Source organism: Homo sapiens, chromosome 4 (genome assembly GCF_000001405.40).
Source record: "Homo sapiens chromosome 4, GRCh38.p14 Primary Assembly".
In the NCBI taxonomy this organism is placed as follows: domain Eukaryota; kingdom Metazoa; phylum Chordata; class Mammalia; order Primates; family Hominidae; genus Homo; species Homo sapiens.
The window spans coordinates 148,684,673-148,701,603 of record NC_000004.12 but is presented as its reverse complement, the minus strand read 5'-3'; the positions used below and the strand labels follow the sequence as shown (position 1 = coordinate 148,701,603).

The 16,931-nt window shown below is 35.9% G+C and overlaps 2 long non-coding RNA genes across 2 annotated transcripts in view; both read right to left on the bottom strand.

The window, feature by feature from the left end:
* The window catches only part of LOC107986195 (uncharacterized), a 496,338-nt gene that overhangs the window by 331,255 nt on the left and 148,152 nt on the right, over positions 1–16,931 (bottom strand). The window lies entirely within an intron of this gene.
* LOC124900797 (uncharacterized) lies at positions 1,354–14,358 on the bottom strand. Its single transcript, XR_007058325.1, has 2 exons — positions 8,347–14,358; positions 1,354–1,480 (listed from the first exon to the last, which is right to left on the bottom strand). It is a non-coding gene; the product is annotated as an uncharacterized LOC124900797 (long non-coding RNA).

Here is a 16,931-nt window from a genome sequence, read left to right as displayed (position 1 = left end):
TACATATGTAACAAACCTGCACAGTGTACACATGTACCCTAGAACTCAAAGTATAAAAAAAAAGAGATGCAACATAACAGAAAAGTTAAAAATAACAGCATGTTTTTCATATATTTACCATCATTTGTATGTCTTCTTTTGAGAACTGTCTCTTCAGATCATTTGCCCATTACTTAATCGGATTGTTTGGTTTTTTATTTTTTTTCTTGCTGTTGAGATGTCTAAGTTTCTTGTATGATTCCCTTCTCAGATTAATACTTTACTAATATTTTCTCCCATTCTTTAGGTTGTCTTTCCACTTTGTTGATTGTTTCCTTTGCTGTGCAGAAGATTTTTCATTTAATATAATCTCATTTGTTTATTTTTGCATTTGTTTCCTGTGAGCAACAATTTTTGAGGTCTTATTCAGAAAATATTTTCCTAGACCAACATACTAAATCATTTCCCCTATGTTTTCTTCTAGTCGTTTTATAGTTTCAGGTCTTATCTAGGTTTTGGATTCATTTTGAATTTATTTTTATATGGAGTGAGAGGTAGGTAAGAGTCTAGTTTCATTCTTCTGCATATGAATGTCCAGCTTTCCTAGAACCAATTATTGAAGAGACTGTCCCCAGTGTAAGTTCTTGTTAGCTTTGTTGAAGATCAGTTAGCTGTAAACATGTAGCTTTGTTTCTGGATTTTCCATTCTGTTTCATTGGTCTCTGTGTCTCTTTTTATATCAGTACCATGCTGTTTCAGTTACTATGGCCTTGTAGTATAATTTGAAGTCAGGTAATGTGGTGCCTACTTTATTCTTATAACTTGATTTTTTTAATTAAAAGAGCTTTTACCACTATTATAGCACTTCCTTGTTAAAGCGAACTTTCAGCTCCTCTCTCTAACCAGGTACACATGGGACATTCTCATTTATACTTTACAGGTGCAGAAGCAGGGTTCAAGCTACCCATGTCAAATATAAAGGATGTCTAGCCTCAGTAGTGACACCAGTGGTCAAGCCTGAGGGTAGAGCACAAGAATTAGGGAACAACTCTAAGGTCTGTGGGGTTTGGACTGGACTTACTGAAGTAAGACCTATAACTAGGCAAATTTCATGAATGTGTAAACATCACTGGGGATTTCTGAAAGTCTGGGAAAATGAACTTAAAAAGATTAGACTTCCGGTTTAAGCAAATATAAATTAGGATTCATCAAGATTTGGCTAAATATGTTAATGAAATAGCATCTGTGTTCACCAGCTGATAGTGCCTTTACCAACTTCCCTAGAATGTATTTGGAGAGACCCCAAATTATACAACTTAAAACTATGTGATGAACATGTAGCTCAGGCTGCTTGAGCAATTAAGGTGAAACATGTTTGATTCCATTTTTTAATTGGGATAAAAGGTTTGTAATAGGAAGCTAATGCATTTTAAGGTTGTTTTCTTAAAACATGTTCCCCTGACATCCTTTCAGTTCCAAGCTGGTGTGATGACGTTTACAGCTGAAAAGCAAAAGCACAGGTTAGGATTAAGCAGGTGGAGATAGTAACATAAACACTGATAGGAAGGCAAGGAATGGCAGAGGACATTTAAACTAATACATGGTTCAAAATGCTTAAAACACATGGAAAAGCAGGACTAGAAAGAAATGGAGCTACAAACATAGAAATAATAGCCTAGTGTAGTAGTTTGGTTGGTTGTTGGTTTTTGTTTTCATTTTTTGAGATGGGATCTCACTCTGTCATCCAGGCTGGAGTGCAATGGCACCATCTCAGCCCACTGCAACCTCTGCAGTTTCCCCTACTATTAACATTTTGCATTATTAACAGTAGTATGGTACATTTGATAAAATTGAAGAGCCAATATTAATACATTACTATTTTTTTTGAGACAGAGTCTCACTCTGTTGCCCAGGCTGGAGTGCAGTGGTGTCATCTCTGCTCACTGTAGCCTCGACCTCTTCAGCTCAAGTGATCCTCCCACCTTAGCCTCCCAAGTAGCTGGGACTACAGATGCACCCCACCACACCGGGCTAATTTTTGTATTTGTTGTAGAGAAAGGGTTTCACCATATGGCCCAGGCTGCTCTCAAACTTCTAAGCTCAAGTGATCCACTCACCTCAGCCTCCCAAAGCACTGGGATTACAAGCATGAACCACCACGCCTGGCCCATGTAGTAGTTTTTAAACTAGACTTCACTAAGCCATTAGAGTTTTGTCATGAGAGAACCACTGTGCAAAGTAAGACTGTTCCCCATCCCCACCTCAACCAGACAAGTGGTCTATCTGCATGGAATTGCATTTTAAGAATGCCTGTGCTGCTTTTGAAAAGATTATTTTAAATTTTAAAACCATTTGTAAGAAGTAAATAGGTCTAAATAATTCTTAAATTGCCCCCAGTGATTCACTGTGGAACCTAAATAAAATTGCACAGAACTCTTAACAACCATTTCTTTTTCTGTTCTAAAAAATGTAATGTAATCACGCATGACCATGATCTCAGAAAAAATATTGTGTCTCTCAGTATGTGCTAGAACCCCTGCAAGTACTTTACATGAATGATTACAACAAATATTCCCAATAGTATTTGGATACCAATATCATCTTTACATTTTACTTATAGATAATGAAACTTAGGCTTAGTGAGTTTTCCAGATTACCCTAGGTGAAAAGATAATAATTGTCAGAGTCAGAAGTAGAGTCCAACTTCTCTCCCTTCAAATTTCAGGCTCTTAGCAAAGTGACAATACTTGAAAGCAATAAGCAGTTGGTTTATAACATCTAAAGCATCTGAGCTACAAAATAATCTATGATCCATCCTGTCATTTATACCAGATCATGAATATAAATCTCGCTGAAAGAACAGCAAGATTATGGGGTGAAAAAAATATGTTTTTGAGGAAAAAATACAACATACAAATCTTCATCGAAATTCTAGACTGCTTACTAGTTTGTTTGTTTTAAGGTTACTATGTCATTGTGTATTTAGCCACATTCTTCAATTTCCTTTTTACATTTCCAAACACTCAAAGAAACTAATAACATGAAAAAATGGTCAAAAGTATGGAAATGAACAAATGAAAACTCAGCTGGAAATCTGAATGCTGTTTTATTGTCTTCAGGGAGGAAAAGGAGGGGCTTCCAAAATGCTAATATTAGTATAGCTTTCTGATTCATTCCTTTATCCCCCATAGCACCTGGTATATTGCTTTGCATATGTACATAATCAATATTCAAATGAATGGATGGATGTATACGAAGGTTAGAGTTCCAAAATGCTGTATTTCAATTCTCTCCCTCAAATCTAACACCATACATTCACTATGTTTTTGAAACTTGATCCCATTGAAATAAAAAACAGAATTTGGGCCTATTAAGGGCATAAACTGTTTAATATTTTGAGGTTTCCTATAACACATACTGCATCTTTATGTGAACATGTTTGTATAAGTCACCATGTAATTTGCTTATAAGGCTGTTCTATTGTATGTAATAAGCTATCCCAGAACTTGGTGGCTTAAAACAACAATTTATTATTATCTCTATGATTGGCGTTTCTTATGTGGTTTCAGTCCAATAGCCACAGGCAGCCTTGACTGAGCTGGTCATCCAAGGCTGGCAGTAGATAATGGTGGCCAACCGGGGCTCAGCTGGGGCTGCCAACAGGGGCTCCTACACATGGTTTCTTCATGTGTGTGGATTTCTCACAGCTCAGCAGATGGATTCTGAGAGGAAACATCCCAAAAGATCAACAAAGAAGCTATGAAACTTCTTATAACCTAGCCTTGGAGGCTCCAGAGCATCATTTCTGCCCCATTTTATTAGTCACACTAGTCACCAAGGCAAGCCTAGATTCAAGGAGATGGAAATAAGACTCCATCTCTTGGTGGGAAGAGCAGCAGACATGTACAGGGAAGAGAGGGATTGAGGTGACCGTCACTGGAGACTATCCACCACAAATGCCTGCTACTTATAAATGTTTAATAGATTACAATTTGAACTGCTACATCTGAGGGTTGTGTTGTATTTAAACTCATCAAGAAGTCTTCCTGGCACAATTATGAACTGGGTATTTGCATGGTAAAAAATATACATTTTGGTTGTACACAATATTTTCAGGGGGAAAAATACAATGTTCAAAACCAACTCCACTCACTGAAATAATTTGTCAAACTAGAGAGTAGTTTCAATGGTTAATACAATTTCAAATGAGTGTACTTTGATTACATCTGAGAAAACATGTTAAACAATACCATCATTATCTCCTAGTACTAAATCCCATTTCTTCAGATTGACAATCTTATATATTAAAAATGTAACACATAGTCATACTATTTCTCACGGATCTTCATGGAAAACAGTAAAGAATAATTTGCTTTGTCCTGTTAATATACTCACTAACTAACATTAAGGAGGAAAAGGCTGACACTTTTCTACAATTTGTCATAATCGATTTGCTTTGCACATTAATTTAAACTTCATGAAACCCAAAATAGGTAGATACGATTAGCTCTGTTTTGCAAATAAAGAAACTGCAGTTCTTAAAGGTTTAGAAACTTGCCCAAGTTTAGAAATCTTTAGGCTTTAGAAACTTACCCAAATGGAAGAAATAATGGTAGGTTCCTAATTTTTTTTCTTACACTTCCTTGTCTCATGAGGCAAAATGCTTGTGTCACACATATATGTACAGATGGTTCCCAAACTTATGGTGGTTCAACTTAACCATTTTTCAACATTAAAAGGGCTGGGAAAGTGATAGGCATTCCATAGAAATCATACTTCGAGTAACCATACAACCTGCTGATTTTCACATGCAGTATAATATTCAATAAATTATGTGAGCCATCCAACACATTATTATAAAATAATAAATTATCGTGTTAAATGATTTTGCCTAACTGTATGCTAATGTAAGTGTTCTGACTATATATTTAAGGTAGGTTATGCTAAGCTATGATGTGCAGTAGGTTAGGCATATTTAATGCATTTTTGCCATATGATATTTTCAATTTACAATGAGTTTATTGGGATGTAACTTCATTATGTCAAGGATAATCTGTGTGTGTGTGTGTGTCTATACATATATGTGTATATATATGTATATATGTATAGACACACACATACTTTTCCTCTCTCTCTCCATAAAGTATCTACGTATTATACATATAATACAAACTATATGTACACACACACACTTTCCATAAAGAAGGAGGTAGTACAGCAGGAATATTTGCCAATATAAAGAAGAAAAAATTTCTTGAAAAGGAAAATGTATTCTAGTCACACTCCATTGGCTCATCTGATATATGAAAAATGAAAAAGAAATAACTATATTCATTTAAAAATCCTAGAAGGAATGCCTCACCTTCAGTTATTTGGGGAATGGGAGTGATTCACATAGGTGAGGAAGGACATGAAACAAATTTCTTTATAAGAACATATTAGATGCTGTGGTCAATCTATACTCCTATCAAATATACTGAAAGAACAATACAAGTAACGCCATATTATATTATTTGCCTTATGTTAATCATGAGGCAAACTAAGTCTTGCTCTAAACTGGTCAAATAAATAACTCAGTAGGAGAATCTGATATAAGATTTGCACAATTTCTTTAATTGAGCAAAGTTTGGAGCAATACTCTCACCTTTCCAGAAAAGAGAAGGATTAGATACATTTCAAGCTTTCAATAAAAGCCTAAAACCAAAGAAGACCAAAACATTGAATCAAAGTCTGAAAGATAGATGTATTGTGTTATTTAAATATTGGCACAGACGCACTCTTGAGTGTGAAGCATTAAATTTTAAGTTGTTTATCTCTGAAACAGATTTAATTTAATATCATGCAAGGCAAATACACCTTTACTTATTCTGGTAAAGTAGTGCTGAATCAATTATAGCTACTGCCTATTAAAAAAGAATAAAAAGAAAAGAAAAAATGTAGCAATAATAATTTCTGTGTGTCCAAAGAACAAAGAAGATTTTACATGTTCATGAAATCATTTTTTTTTAATTTTGTGATTAATAACCTAAAAATATGCAGTTCTCTTGGGTCTTTGCTGTAACAGACCAATATCTACATGCTTTAGAATAGGTAATGAAGGCTGACATAGCAACTAAGGTCAAATAATCCTGATCTGTTTTGTACAATCTGTCTCACTAGCAGTGTTGTACTCAGTAAATATGCTTTTTTTTTAATGGTAGAATTGTTTTTCTCCGTAGCCAATCCATAGTCACAGCTTCAATGCCTGACATAAAATAAAGACTCAATAGATATCTTGGGATTGAATTGAATGTATAATTTTCTGTTCTATATGAGGCCCATATTAAACATACACAAGGCCTCCTGCTTAATTTCTGGATGCTTTGTGAAGTGTACATACCCATATAATCCGTATACTATGTCAATATGGGAAATTTACACAAATAATTTGACTATTTTGACTCTAAATCAATTGAATCCCTTAAAACAGTAAAACTGGCTCATTTAACAAAATCTTACAGATTAATGTCACTATTTCCCTTAATAACTTGCGTAGATATGGCATCTTACTGTGACTATAAGGCTTTTCCTTGAAAGTTGGTTTATAGATAAAAATCACAAAGTGTGTGGAAGAATACCTCCTCTCTCTTCCTTGTTTAAAACCCACACAGCTCTATCTGATTGCCACGTTTTATGAGCATCCAGCAGTTGGAGAAACAAGTCTTGTCTTTTAAATAAATCTCTTATCTCGGTCTGCGTTCAAGATTCAGGTCTGCTGCAAAGGCTTACATCTAATGCACAGTGTCACAAACACTAAAATTGGAGTCATTTAAAAATTTGCCCACGCCCTCTGGGAGATAAGAGATTGGCAGTGTTAAATTTGTAGATAACCATTAAGGTAGTGATCCCAAAACACTATGTTTCTAAGTAACATCTATTAAAGTAGGGTGGCATTTGCTATACTTGAGCTAGTCCACCTAATCAAATGTCCTGCCCCTTATAGCAATCAGCAAAAGGTATTTCAGAGGAAGGGATCTAACTTTTTTCTTTTTTGCTTCTTAAAAAATAGTATAGCATAGCATAGCATAGGAAAAAGCACTGCATGGAAAAGACTCTCAATCCTAATTCCCAGGGGCAATAAGCTCATATTCAGAAGCCTTAAATAACCTTTCTCTCATATCTCCACTGACCAGGCTCTAAGTGGCTAGTGGTGATCATAAAATTATCCAGTACTTTTGAAAACCCAGACACAATTGCCTCAATAAATCTCACTCAGGTCATACAACTTGCACTCCAAGAGCAATTCTTGCTCTCCAAGAACATTTCTTTCTCTTTTTTAATCCAGTTTTGCTTTCTAAAAGATATTCTGGGCTACAAGATGTGGCTTCTCAATCTAATGGGGTGCCAATTTATTCTTCAGCTTGACTCATGCCTTCTTCACATATGAAGCAAAACAGTGGCAACCTTTTCTTAAAGGACAGTGGTTGATCCCATGTACTTTGGTCAGATGCCGTAATCTGAAAACTCCCTTATCTCAGACTAAGCTGCAGATGCTCTTTGGCTCTGGCCTTGGAACGTCACTAAAGAGTTCTAGGGTACTGCAGATGAAGACATCTGAAATTGAAGGTCAACATATGGGTGATAGGATTGACTGTTTGCCAATTTAAAATATTGAAGGGGCATTTCTACAAAAATGCTTTCCTTTTATAATCTGATAATATATCCACTGAATTCTTTATATAAATAAAGAACTTCATGGCAGTTTTACCCATTCTAGCACAATATTACATACAAGATATTAAGTAAGTTTTTCTTTTCAGTTGAGTTACATTGTGAGGGTTTTTTTAACCATTCTAAAGGAGACCCAAACAATAAGGAACCAATCAAGCTTTTGAATGGTAAATTTAAGTAAGGTTTAGCACATTTTGTTTTTCAAAACCCAGGATAATCTCCTAAAATTATTTCATTAAACTTTATCATTTATGGATTTTCAAAAGTATTGGTAAAACTAACAGAAAAAGGACCTGTGCTGTTGTTGCTTACATGAAATTGGAATATTTGTGTATTTATTCAATTCTTCATTAGCTATAGAATTACACGAGATGTTTCAACAGAAAGAACTTAGTGGCACTGAACAGGATTCAGATCCCTCCTGTTCCACTGCATAGAATACTTTCTAGTATTTATTAAAATGACAATACCTTGCATCAGGATTATGGAATTCAATTAGAAAATGTATGAAAAGTCCCCAGTAATATGCCTCACACATAGTGGATCACAGTAAGTATTTACTGATCTGCACATAACCAAATATGAATATGGGAGAAATATTAAACAAAGATTCCTCATCCAACCCAGATGATGAGACCGAGGGCTTAGAGAGCTTACCTAGTTTTATAAACCAAAAGATTTGCACCATGTTGGTTTTTCCAAAAGAATATTCACCACAGATTGAGAGATCGGTGAGCATAAACTCATTCATTCATCCTAAAAAAATGTCTTTAGGTTTACATCACTCTGAGGAAACATTAAAATTTAATATTTCTTTCTGAAGTCTTATTTCTACTGAGTTAGTGAACTTGTCATCTGTGTATAAAGAAGACTCGCTTTCAAGGAGAATGAAAAATTGTTCTCTTCTATAATCAGGGACTCACCGCTTTACCTTCCCTGGTAACATCAGCCATTATGACTCTGTCTCCCTAGCAACCATGTCTCTATATCAGACAGCTTTACTTGAAACAATCTTCACTGAAGAAAAGGTCGTCGAAAAAGAATTCACATAAAAATAAAAATAAAACACGAAATAACCATGAGAATAGGTATAATCAATGCTTCCTTGGGATGCAATTTTCTTTGCATAATTTTAACAAAAAATTAAAATTAAAAGAGCAGAGGTTTGTCAGAAAGCTGAATACATATGTATTTCATCAGGTAAAAACTTTGTTTCAAATGTTATGCTAAAAGAATATGATTGATAAGATATAATAGAGCTGTAACAGAAGAAGAGGAAATTTTGTTCACACTAGAAAGTTCTAAAAAGCAACACGGCAAATATTTCCTGAGAGTTTTGTGTTACTAAACACAATTTTGACACAACAGTCTGTACTTTGAGTCTTTCTGCCCCGCAGTCTCTGGGTGAGCTAATTTCTATATTGAGTTGGTTCTCAGCGCCAAAGGTCTGAGGGAACACAGGAAAGTTTAAGCAAACAGTTCACTTTATTTGAAACGGATTTAACACTGTCATCAGGAACACTGCGTCCCTCATGGCCTCATTTTATGGCCCATGCACCTGATGGGCTAGTTCCTGCCAAACTCATTCCTCGGTACCTGCCAAGGCTTCCCCCACAGGCGCTCTATGCAACCTCCATCCCACTCCTCACTTCAAATCCAGGATTTTCTCAGCCCAAGTCAGTGATCATAAATAGTCAAACATCATTTTCTGATTGCCGGTGGAGTAACTTATGTTCATATCTGAATGAAGAAGATACAAAATAAGTATCATACAAAAACTCATTGATATTCTAAACCAGGAAATGTCTCATATAGAAACTAAGCAAACAATATTAGCTAAAACAATTATATATCAAGCCTTAAAATCTTGGCCTACACATTGGGATATGGTATCTTAGGGAAAAGATTTAAAGATAAAAGCTTTAATAATAATAATGTGTTTACAAATGTTTAGCATCTTCAACTTTTTAAAGTATTTTACTGTATCTCATGTTGTTATCTTAAAAAGCTTTATGCAACACAAAAAGGTAAACTTTTATTACCCTCATCTCATAAACAATGAAACAAATACAGTAATCTGTTCAACATCAAGTAGTACATTTGTGACAGAAACAAAACTATACGCAAGGTCTCCTAACTGTAAGCTGGACACTGAGGGAAATTCTGGGCCTTTTCGAATTAGAGTCAACTCGAGCAGAAAGACCTTTAAATTGTGCTTCAGTCTTTCTGGGTCCCAGGCCACTCCCATCTTAATTTATGTTATCTCTCTCCTTTCAGGCCAATCCTGTTGTACTTGCCCCCAACTCAGAGAGAAACAAGAGACTATGCTAATTTTAAAATCTGGCTTTGCAGCCCTACTTGCAAGGAACAGAGAATGACAGAACCATCAGATGTATGCCACTAATCAAGATATTTATTGAGGGGCCCAACAATTTAGTCAAAATTTAGTCATTCAATAACTTCCTAAGCCCTCACGCACTGTTCTAGGCATTCGGGAAACAAAAACTGAGAACAGACAACATCCTCCACCCTCATGGGGCTGACATTCCGGGAGGAGAAGATGGATAATAAATTATAAATATAATATGTAGGTAAATTATATAGAATATTAGATGATGATAAATGCCAAGGGGATAGAAATAGGGCCAGGTAGGGAGCTTGCTAGAGGGTGGAGATGGGGGTGGGGGTGCAATTGTTAAGTTGGGTGGGCAGGGTATGGAACAGTGTGGAACAATAGGCAGTACAGTCACTCTTCTATCCAGCAAAATCTAATGAGGGAAAGGGAACCAGAGAGAGAAGGATTGACAATAGACAGATTACTAACAGACACCTGCCATAATGAACATATCTAATACTAACAAGATACACTGTGTCTACACACTGAAAAGTCTAGGGAGACCTAACATATACAAGCTAGTTTACATCGCCCACAATTTCTGGGGTTATGTCCTTCCCGGGCTGACCTATCAGATCGTAAAGTATGTTTGTTTCCCTGCTCAGGCCTAACAGCTTCCCGTGTTTCATCATCCTCCTTATCATAGCTTGCTCCCTCCTGAAGATCCAATTCTTGGTGCAAGAAACTCCTTCCTCAAGGTATGTCCTTGCAGTTAGCACCTACCAAGCTCTGGAACCAGGTTTCGGTTGATTCCAGATCAACTGCTGTCTCTCCTCACCATTACTGCTGGACTTGTCAGCCAGGCGCTCCTGGGTTGATGGGCTTTAATTCTGCTTGCTCGCCATCCGAGGCTATTTTACCCCAAATCACAGTGCTTTCCAGAGGGAGCCGGACACTAGAGCAGCTTAGTGCAATTTTCTCTCTCCCTACAACACCGCCAGTATATAACCAAGCTCTTGTCTTTTTAGGATATGGCTTCCTTCCTCCTCTAGTCTTTTTTCCCTCCTCCCACCAATCTGCAGATTCTGTTTCCCATAATAATTTACAAATCTCTGTTTTCTCTTCCAAATTTATCCAAGTTGATCAGCACTGCTAAATGCTTCTACTAATGCTGTTTGAAACATGATAGCTCTTGGATACAAATTGCTTCCTAGTAGGAATTACTTCTCCACAATCAAGAACGTTCTCAACAGCCAAGCTAAAGCAGAAAGTCAGGTTCCAAGGTCGCAGATCCTTCAGCTCAAAATTCAGCTTCTGGAAAGTTAAAATGGACACAACCATTAGCACAGCACCTAAATCTGGTTTAAACCTCTACTGTCCTTCGATTGCTCAGTCACCATCCAGAACGCAGAGACTGAAAAGGTAAGTCGAGCATAACTACCACAGAAGAAAAGAGAAATTTAACCAGGAGGCAAACATCCCACGAATGGAAAATAACACAATAAACTATGATATATCTCGAATTCTTGAAAGGCTTGGTTTTGAATATATGAACAGCAACCATATATATTCAGACAAGGGCTCTTTTTTTTCAAAAGGAACCAGAAAAAGAAAGCACAAATATTCACAAAACTTATTTTAAACATGTTTTTTAAAAACATCAAAAGTAACAAGTGAAATTTTAAACATGACAGAATTCATATTCCAATGATAATATCAATAATAAAATTAAACTGATATTAAGAAGGAAAAAATCATATAAAGCAAACTACACCATGAAAAAGTTCTGCCCCATTGGTCATCATGCTTGGGTCTAGCTCTGGTCCTGCCACTAACTAGCTGTGTGATGGGAAACCTTTGGGCAAGTCATGGAATGTCTCTTAGTCATAGCTCCGACCAATATAAAATTAGTTTTTTGAAATAGATCTTCAAGTTCCTTCCAATTCTGAAGTTGTATAAATCTTCAGATGGTTTCCATCAGAATATAGAACCACAGATTATAAGTTGTTTAATCATTTTATTCCTGTCCCATTGGTTCTAAAACTCTAACAATTTCTATTATGTCAATTTGAAGCAGATCATCATATAAATTGAAACACTGGTCCTACAAACTAAAGTATAGAAAATGAATTAATGTCACTCAAAACAATGTATCTGACATTCAAACTCTTTAATCAAACACATTAAGTAAAAGCCAGTCTTTCTGGAAAAACCAAAATGATAATTCTTTTCACTATAAAATTCAACTTTGGCATCCCACAAATTCTCTATACAATTTATCTTATAAACAATAATAGGCTTCTGTCTTGTCTGAAAAGAAAATGAAATATGAATTCTTTCTTCTCATTACTTTTTCCCCCATGTTCTAAGAAAAATTTTAATGAAAACAAATTTATTTTCTTGCTTAGGGCCAGAAACAAAGCAAAACTACCTAATTCTAATTTCTACAGCTGAGATGAGAGAGTTTAAGCAGAAAAAAATTTAATCATCCAAATGTATTGAGTATTGTCAGGATCAGAGCAGAGCTCTTTGAATAAGGTGACCATACTGAATTAGAAGAATGGCAGCAAAATATCAACTGGATTTTTTTCAAGACCATAGCGAACGTCTTTTTCTACGTGCACCAGTTCTCGAAGTGTTGCATATCAGAGATCTATCAAAAATTAACTATTGGTAAATTAGAAAGCATTCTTCTAGTCCTTACACTTTGTTTTACTTGCTGGATGTCCTTAGAAACCATCCGAACTCAGCTCACTCTTATTTTTACAGCCAAATCATAGCAAATCTGGGATAATTCTAACTTGGATAGTCAGCAAGGGATTATTTGATATTGATTACTTCTAGCTACTTCCAAACAATAAAAATAGCCAACTCAAGAATCTCTTATGGAATATTTTCATTGCTTATTTCATCCTTTATTTACAAATATTTATTGTTTGCCCTCCAAGGAGGCACTATTTTAGACATTTGGGTCAAAGATCCTTGCCCTTGTGCCTTTGAGAAATCTTAAATTCTAATTCAGAAAGACAGACAATAGACAATACACATTATGAATGAGTAAATCATATAGTGTGTTACGAGATGATAAGTGCTATGGGGAAAAGAAAAAGTCAAGTAGGGTAAGATAGAGAAGGTAGACCAGGATGGTGTGGGCCAAGGTGATATGGGGATTGCTGGAAAGATGGTGCTGTCATCAACTGGTATTGAAAAGGCGGAGAAAATAGCAGGTTGCTGCCAGAGGGGAGGGGGGTGGTAGGGCATGTGGCCTGGGGTTTGGATATCAGCAGTTCAGCTTTGGATATGCTGAGATTGAGATGTCTATTAGAAAGGAGCATCTGATTATACATTTCATGTTATATCACATTAACACAGAGCAGTAGAGTAATTTTTGTCACACTCACTCAGAGGTTAGGGAATAGTTGGAAATCCCTAAAGGAAAACAAAGAAACAGATGTTCAAATGAGCCATTAGCCTTCTAATGAAAAAGATCTGCAAATATCTTAGGTTTTGATACGAATGAAGTTAAAATATTTTTGTCTAGTATGGACACATCCACATAAAAATAGTTGTACTAGCTTTTCTTTTCAGAAATGCAGTAAATTTTGAAGGAAACAGACACTTGAGCCCTAAAGGAGAAAGGCACAAACTATAAACCACAGGGAGAGCTTTTACAAAGCGAAGACATGAACTTCCCTGGGAATATGGAAATCTAACACAAGCTAATTTTCCCTCCCTGGTTGCACAGATTCTTATTGTCCAGAGACTCAGATTCTAAAAGAAAGAATGCTACAACCGAGAAAATGTCAGCAATGACCATGACCTCTTGCTGAAGAACTAATTGAATCAAACTCAGGAAAAGAAAGTTGCTGATTAAAGTACTACCTAAAAATCTCTGATTTTGTGAAACCAGATAATATCTACAAAAATAGCTGTGTAAGCTTTAAAAAAATAAGTATTTTAAATTTACATAATTAAATGGATAATATATTGGCATTTTTTCAAAGAAGATCTCCCAGTAAACTGAGTTGAAGACTTTTAAGAAGTGAATGAGTAAGGGGTTGCTGCTCCCATTGAATACACTAGAACTTTGTATACCTAGAATATCTCTCCCTCTATATCACTTTCAGAATGTCCCAACTCAGATTCTCCTCATCTCTATCTTCATCTGTGCCCCAAACCAAGTACCTGAAGGTCACACTACACAAAAAAATCCTCTCATATCATCCCTGGATTTCACACTTTTAAATTACCAGATTCATATTAAACAGCTTTTAAAATCATAATGGGTTGGAAAAAATGTATATACACATAAACATTCACGCAAATACCTGTACTATATGTATACATATACACAATACATATACAAATACCAGTATATATGCATATATACATATATATGCACAAACTATGTATATTTATATACACTATATATATACACACACACACATAGACACAGTATACACACACACACACACACACACACTTAGGTGTGTGTTTAGTATCTACTCAGTTCCTTAGCATCCTTATCTAGATGCATCAGTAGAGACTTGGCATATGTTGCTAATCTATTGATTGCTACAAAGAGCCTCTGAAGTTCAATCTAACTATTGAGATGGCATTTGGGATAATTCATCCCCCATTTCACTATTCACCACAGGAAAATGACCAAAATGTTGGAAGTGAAAAAAGAGATTAATTTTAAAGCACTTTTAAGAGTTACTTCTAAGTCTGTTCTTCAATAACCATAAATGGATTTTTAAAGATAACAAAAATGTAATTAGAAAAGAAAATTCTATTTGCTTCATAGCTACAGCCGGACTGAATCAGATTACTCGGATTTGGTCAAGATTTCTGCTTAATTAACATTTTATGATTCATTTAAAACGTCATATAAATTCTAGAGCATTGCTGAGCCAAGCCAGATTTGATGTGTTGGCATTTTATTACATCTGACAAACCATAATTTCATTAGTTTTAATTTCTGTAGTGTTTAACTAATGTAAAAAATTATGTTAACTATGAGTTATCAAAAGAGTTATCATTACTTTGCTTTCAGCCTGTTTATTGGAGAGTAATCCCATTCTCTAGCTTTTAAGGAAAAGATACAACTGTCTCAGTTAATTACTGTTTCATTGCTAGTACCCCAGAGCAAGCACAGTTAAGTGTTCAGTGTTCCAAAGTAACTGGCAAAGACTTAGAAGAACCAGGACATACAAATTTGCACTAATAAGTTAATTGGCAAAATGGAAATAAATACAAGAAGTTAGTGATTGCCCCACACTGAAATGAAAGGAACAGCTGACAGTAAGCACAATCCAAGCATACAAGTTCAACCAAACTTGTGCAAGTGACAAGACACTTTCATTGGGATTTCAAATGAAATAGTGTGCTCAGATAGCCTCTGTTTAATAAATCTGCACACATCCCTGAAAACGAAGTATCTGTATCAACAAAGTGCCGCAATAAATAGCAACTCTTTATATGTCTTCACTTTTTCTAAAATATACACTAGTGAAATAGAGGAATCTCTCTGTGAATATGGAAGAATGCTTCAAAAAACATGATTTTCCTACACAAATTTGAAAAACTGTCACTGTGACATTGAAAAAAACCCTAATCTACAGCACAATACCTGAGTGATGATACATTATGGAGAGATGTTTCTGCCTATTTGATAACCAAACATTCATATGCCAATAAAATGATAAAACCCCACAGATCACTGGCACTACTCTAAACGTTGCCACAAGTTTTATTATTGTTAATTATTACTATGTCTTTAGCTTGGTTGCCTAAAGTCATTAAATAGGGCATAGGGCATATACTCTTCAGAACACAGCTATTTTGGGGTTTTTGTTCTCTTGCAAAGTTCACCCACAGCAAATCATTTTTAAAAGAAGTTGCTGCTTGAAAATCCGGAGGTGGAGTTCAGTAATAAACTGAAACAGATGCTTTGCAGCAAGGGAAGGACAGTGCAGTGAGGCCATCAGTGTTTGCAGGGCAAACACCACATCCGAATGGTAGGTGCAGCCTACATATTTGACGGTAGCTCTATCATACATGAAAAATTCCCACGAAGCAAACGGTAACAGAGAATTCATTCAGAAGGCCAATATCTTAACTTTACCTTTTTCTTATTTAAATGTACATCAATGGTATACTTACCCCTAACTTCCATTTTATCCCTTACCCCTTTACTCCTCTTGAATCCTGGTGAAGTGCTATTGCTGGCCAGGATGGTGATAGGCTGTAAGGTCTTGAGGACCCAGTCCCTCATTTTACCTTTCCAGACCCATCTTCGTTCCTCACTCACCCTGCCTCCCACATTTCCTATGTCCCCATCACTGCAAGCTGCTCCCCATTTTCAGACCCCCATATGCCTTTAGGACTTTTTTTCAAGAACATCTGTGCCTGGCCTATGCCTTCTCATCCTAGACCCAGCTCAGTTGTCATCTCCCGTCTGAAGTCCTCCCCCATTTCTCCTCATAAAGAGTGGTTTAGAGCAAGAGAGGTATGCTTGAAAAGCCAGTTCTGTCACTTACTAGGGGTATAACCCTTGTTCGACAGATGAACTCTGTTTTCTCAATTATCAAATGAGGATACTAACATGTGTCTTTCACTGTTAGCTGACTCTCAGAGCTCTCATTAAAATTTGATCTTTAGCACAGTGCCTGGCACAAAATAAATATTCATAAACTGCTGCTATAATTATTATCTCTCCTGTTCTCCCAGAACACTTTGTTCTGCAATAGTGTTTATCAGATTGTGAAAGAACTGTTCCTTTGTCAGTCTCCTCAATGAGATAAACTCTGCTCAGCTTTGTGTCTCCAATGGCCATTATATGATCATACATGTGTGCTTAATTAATGTATGAACAGTAAAGCCATCACCCCTTGGTCATAGTTAA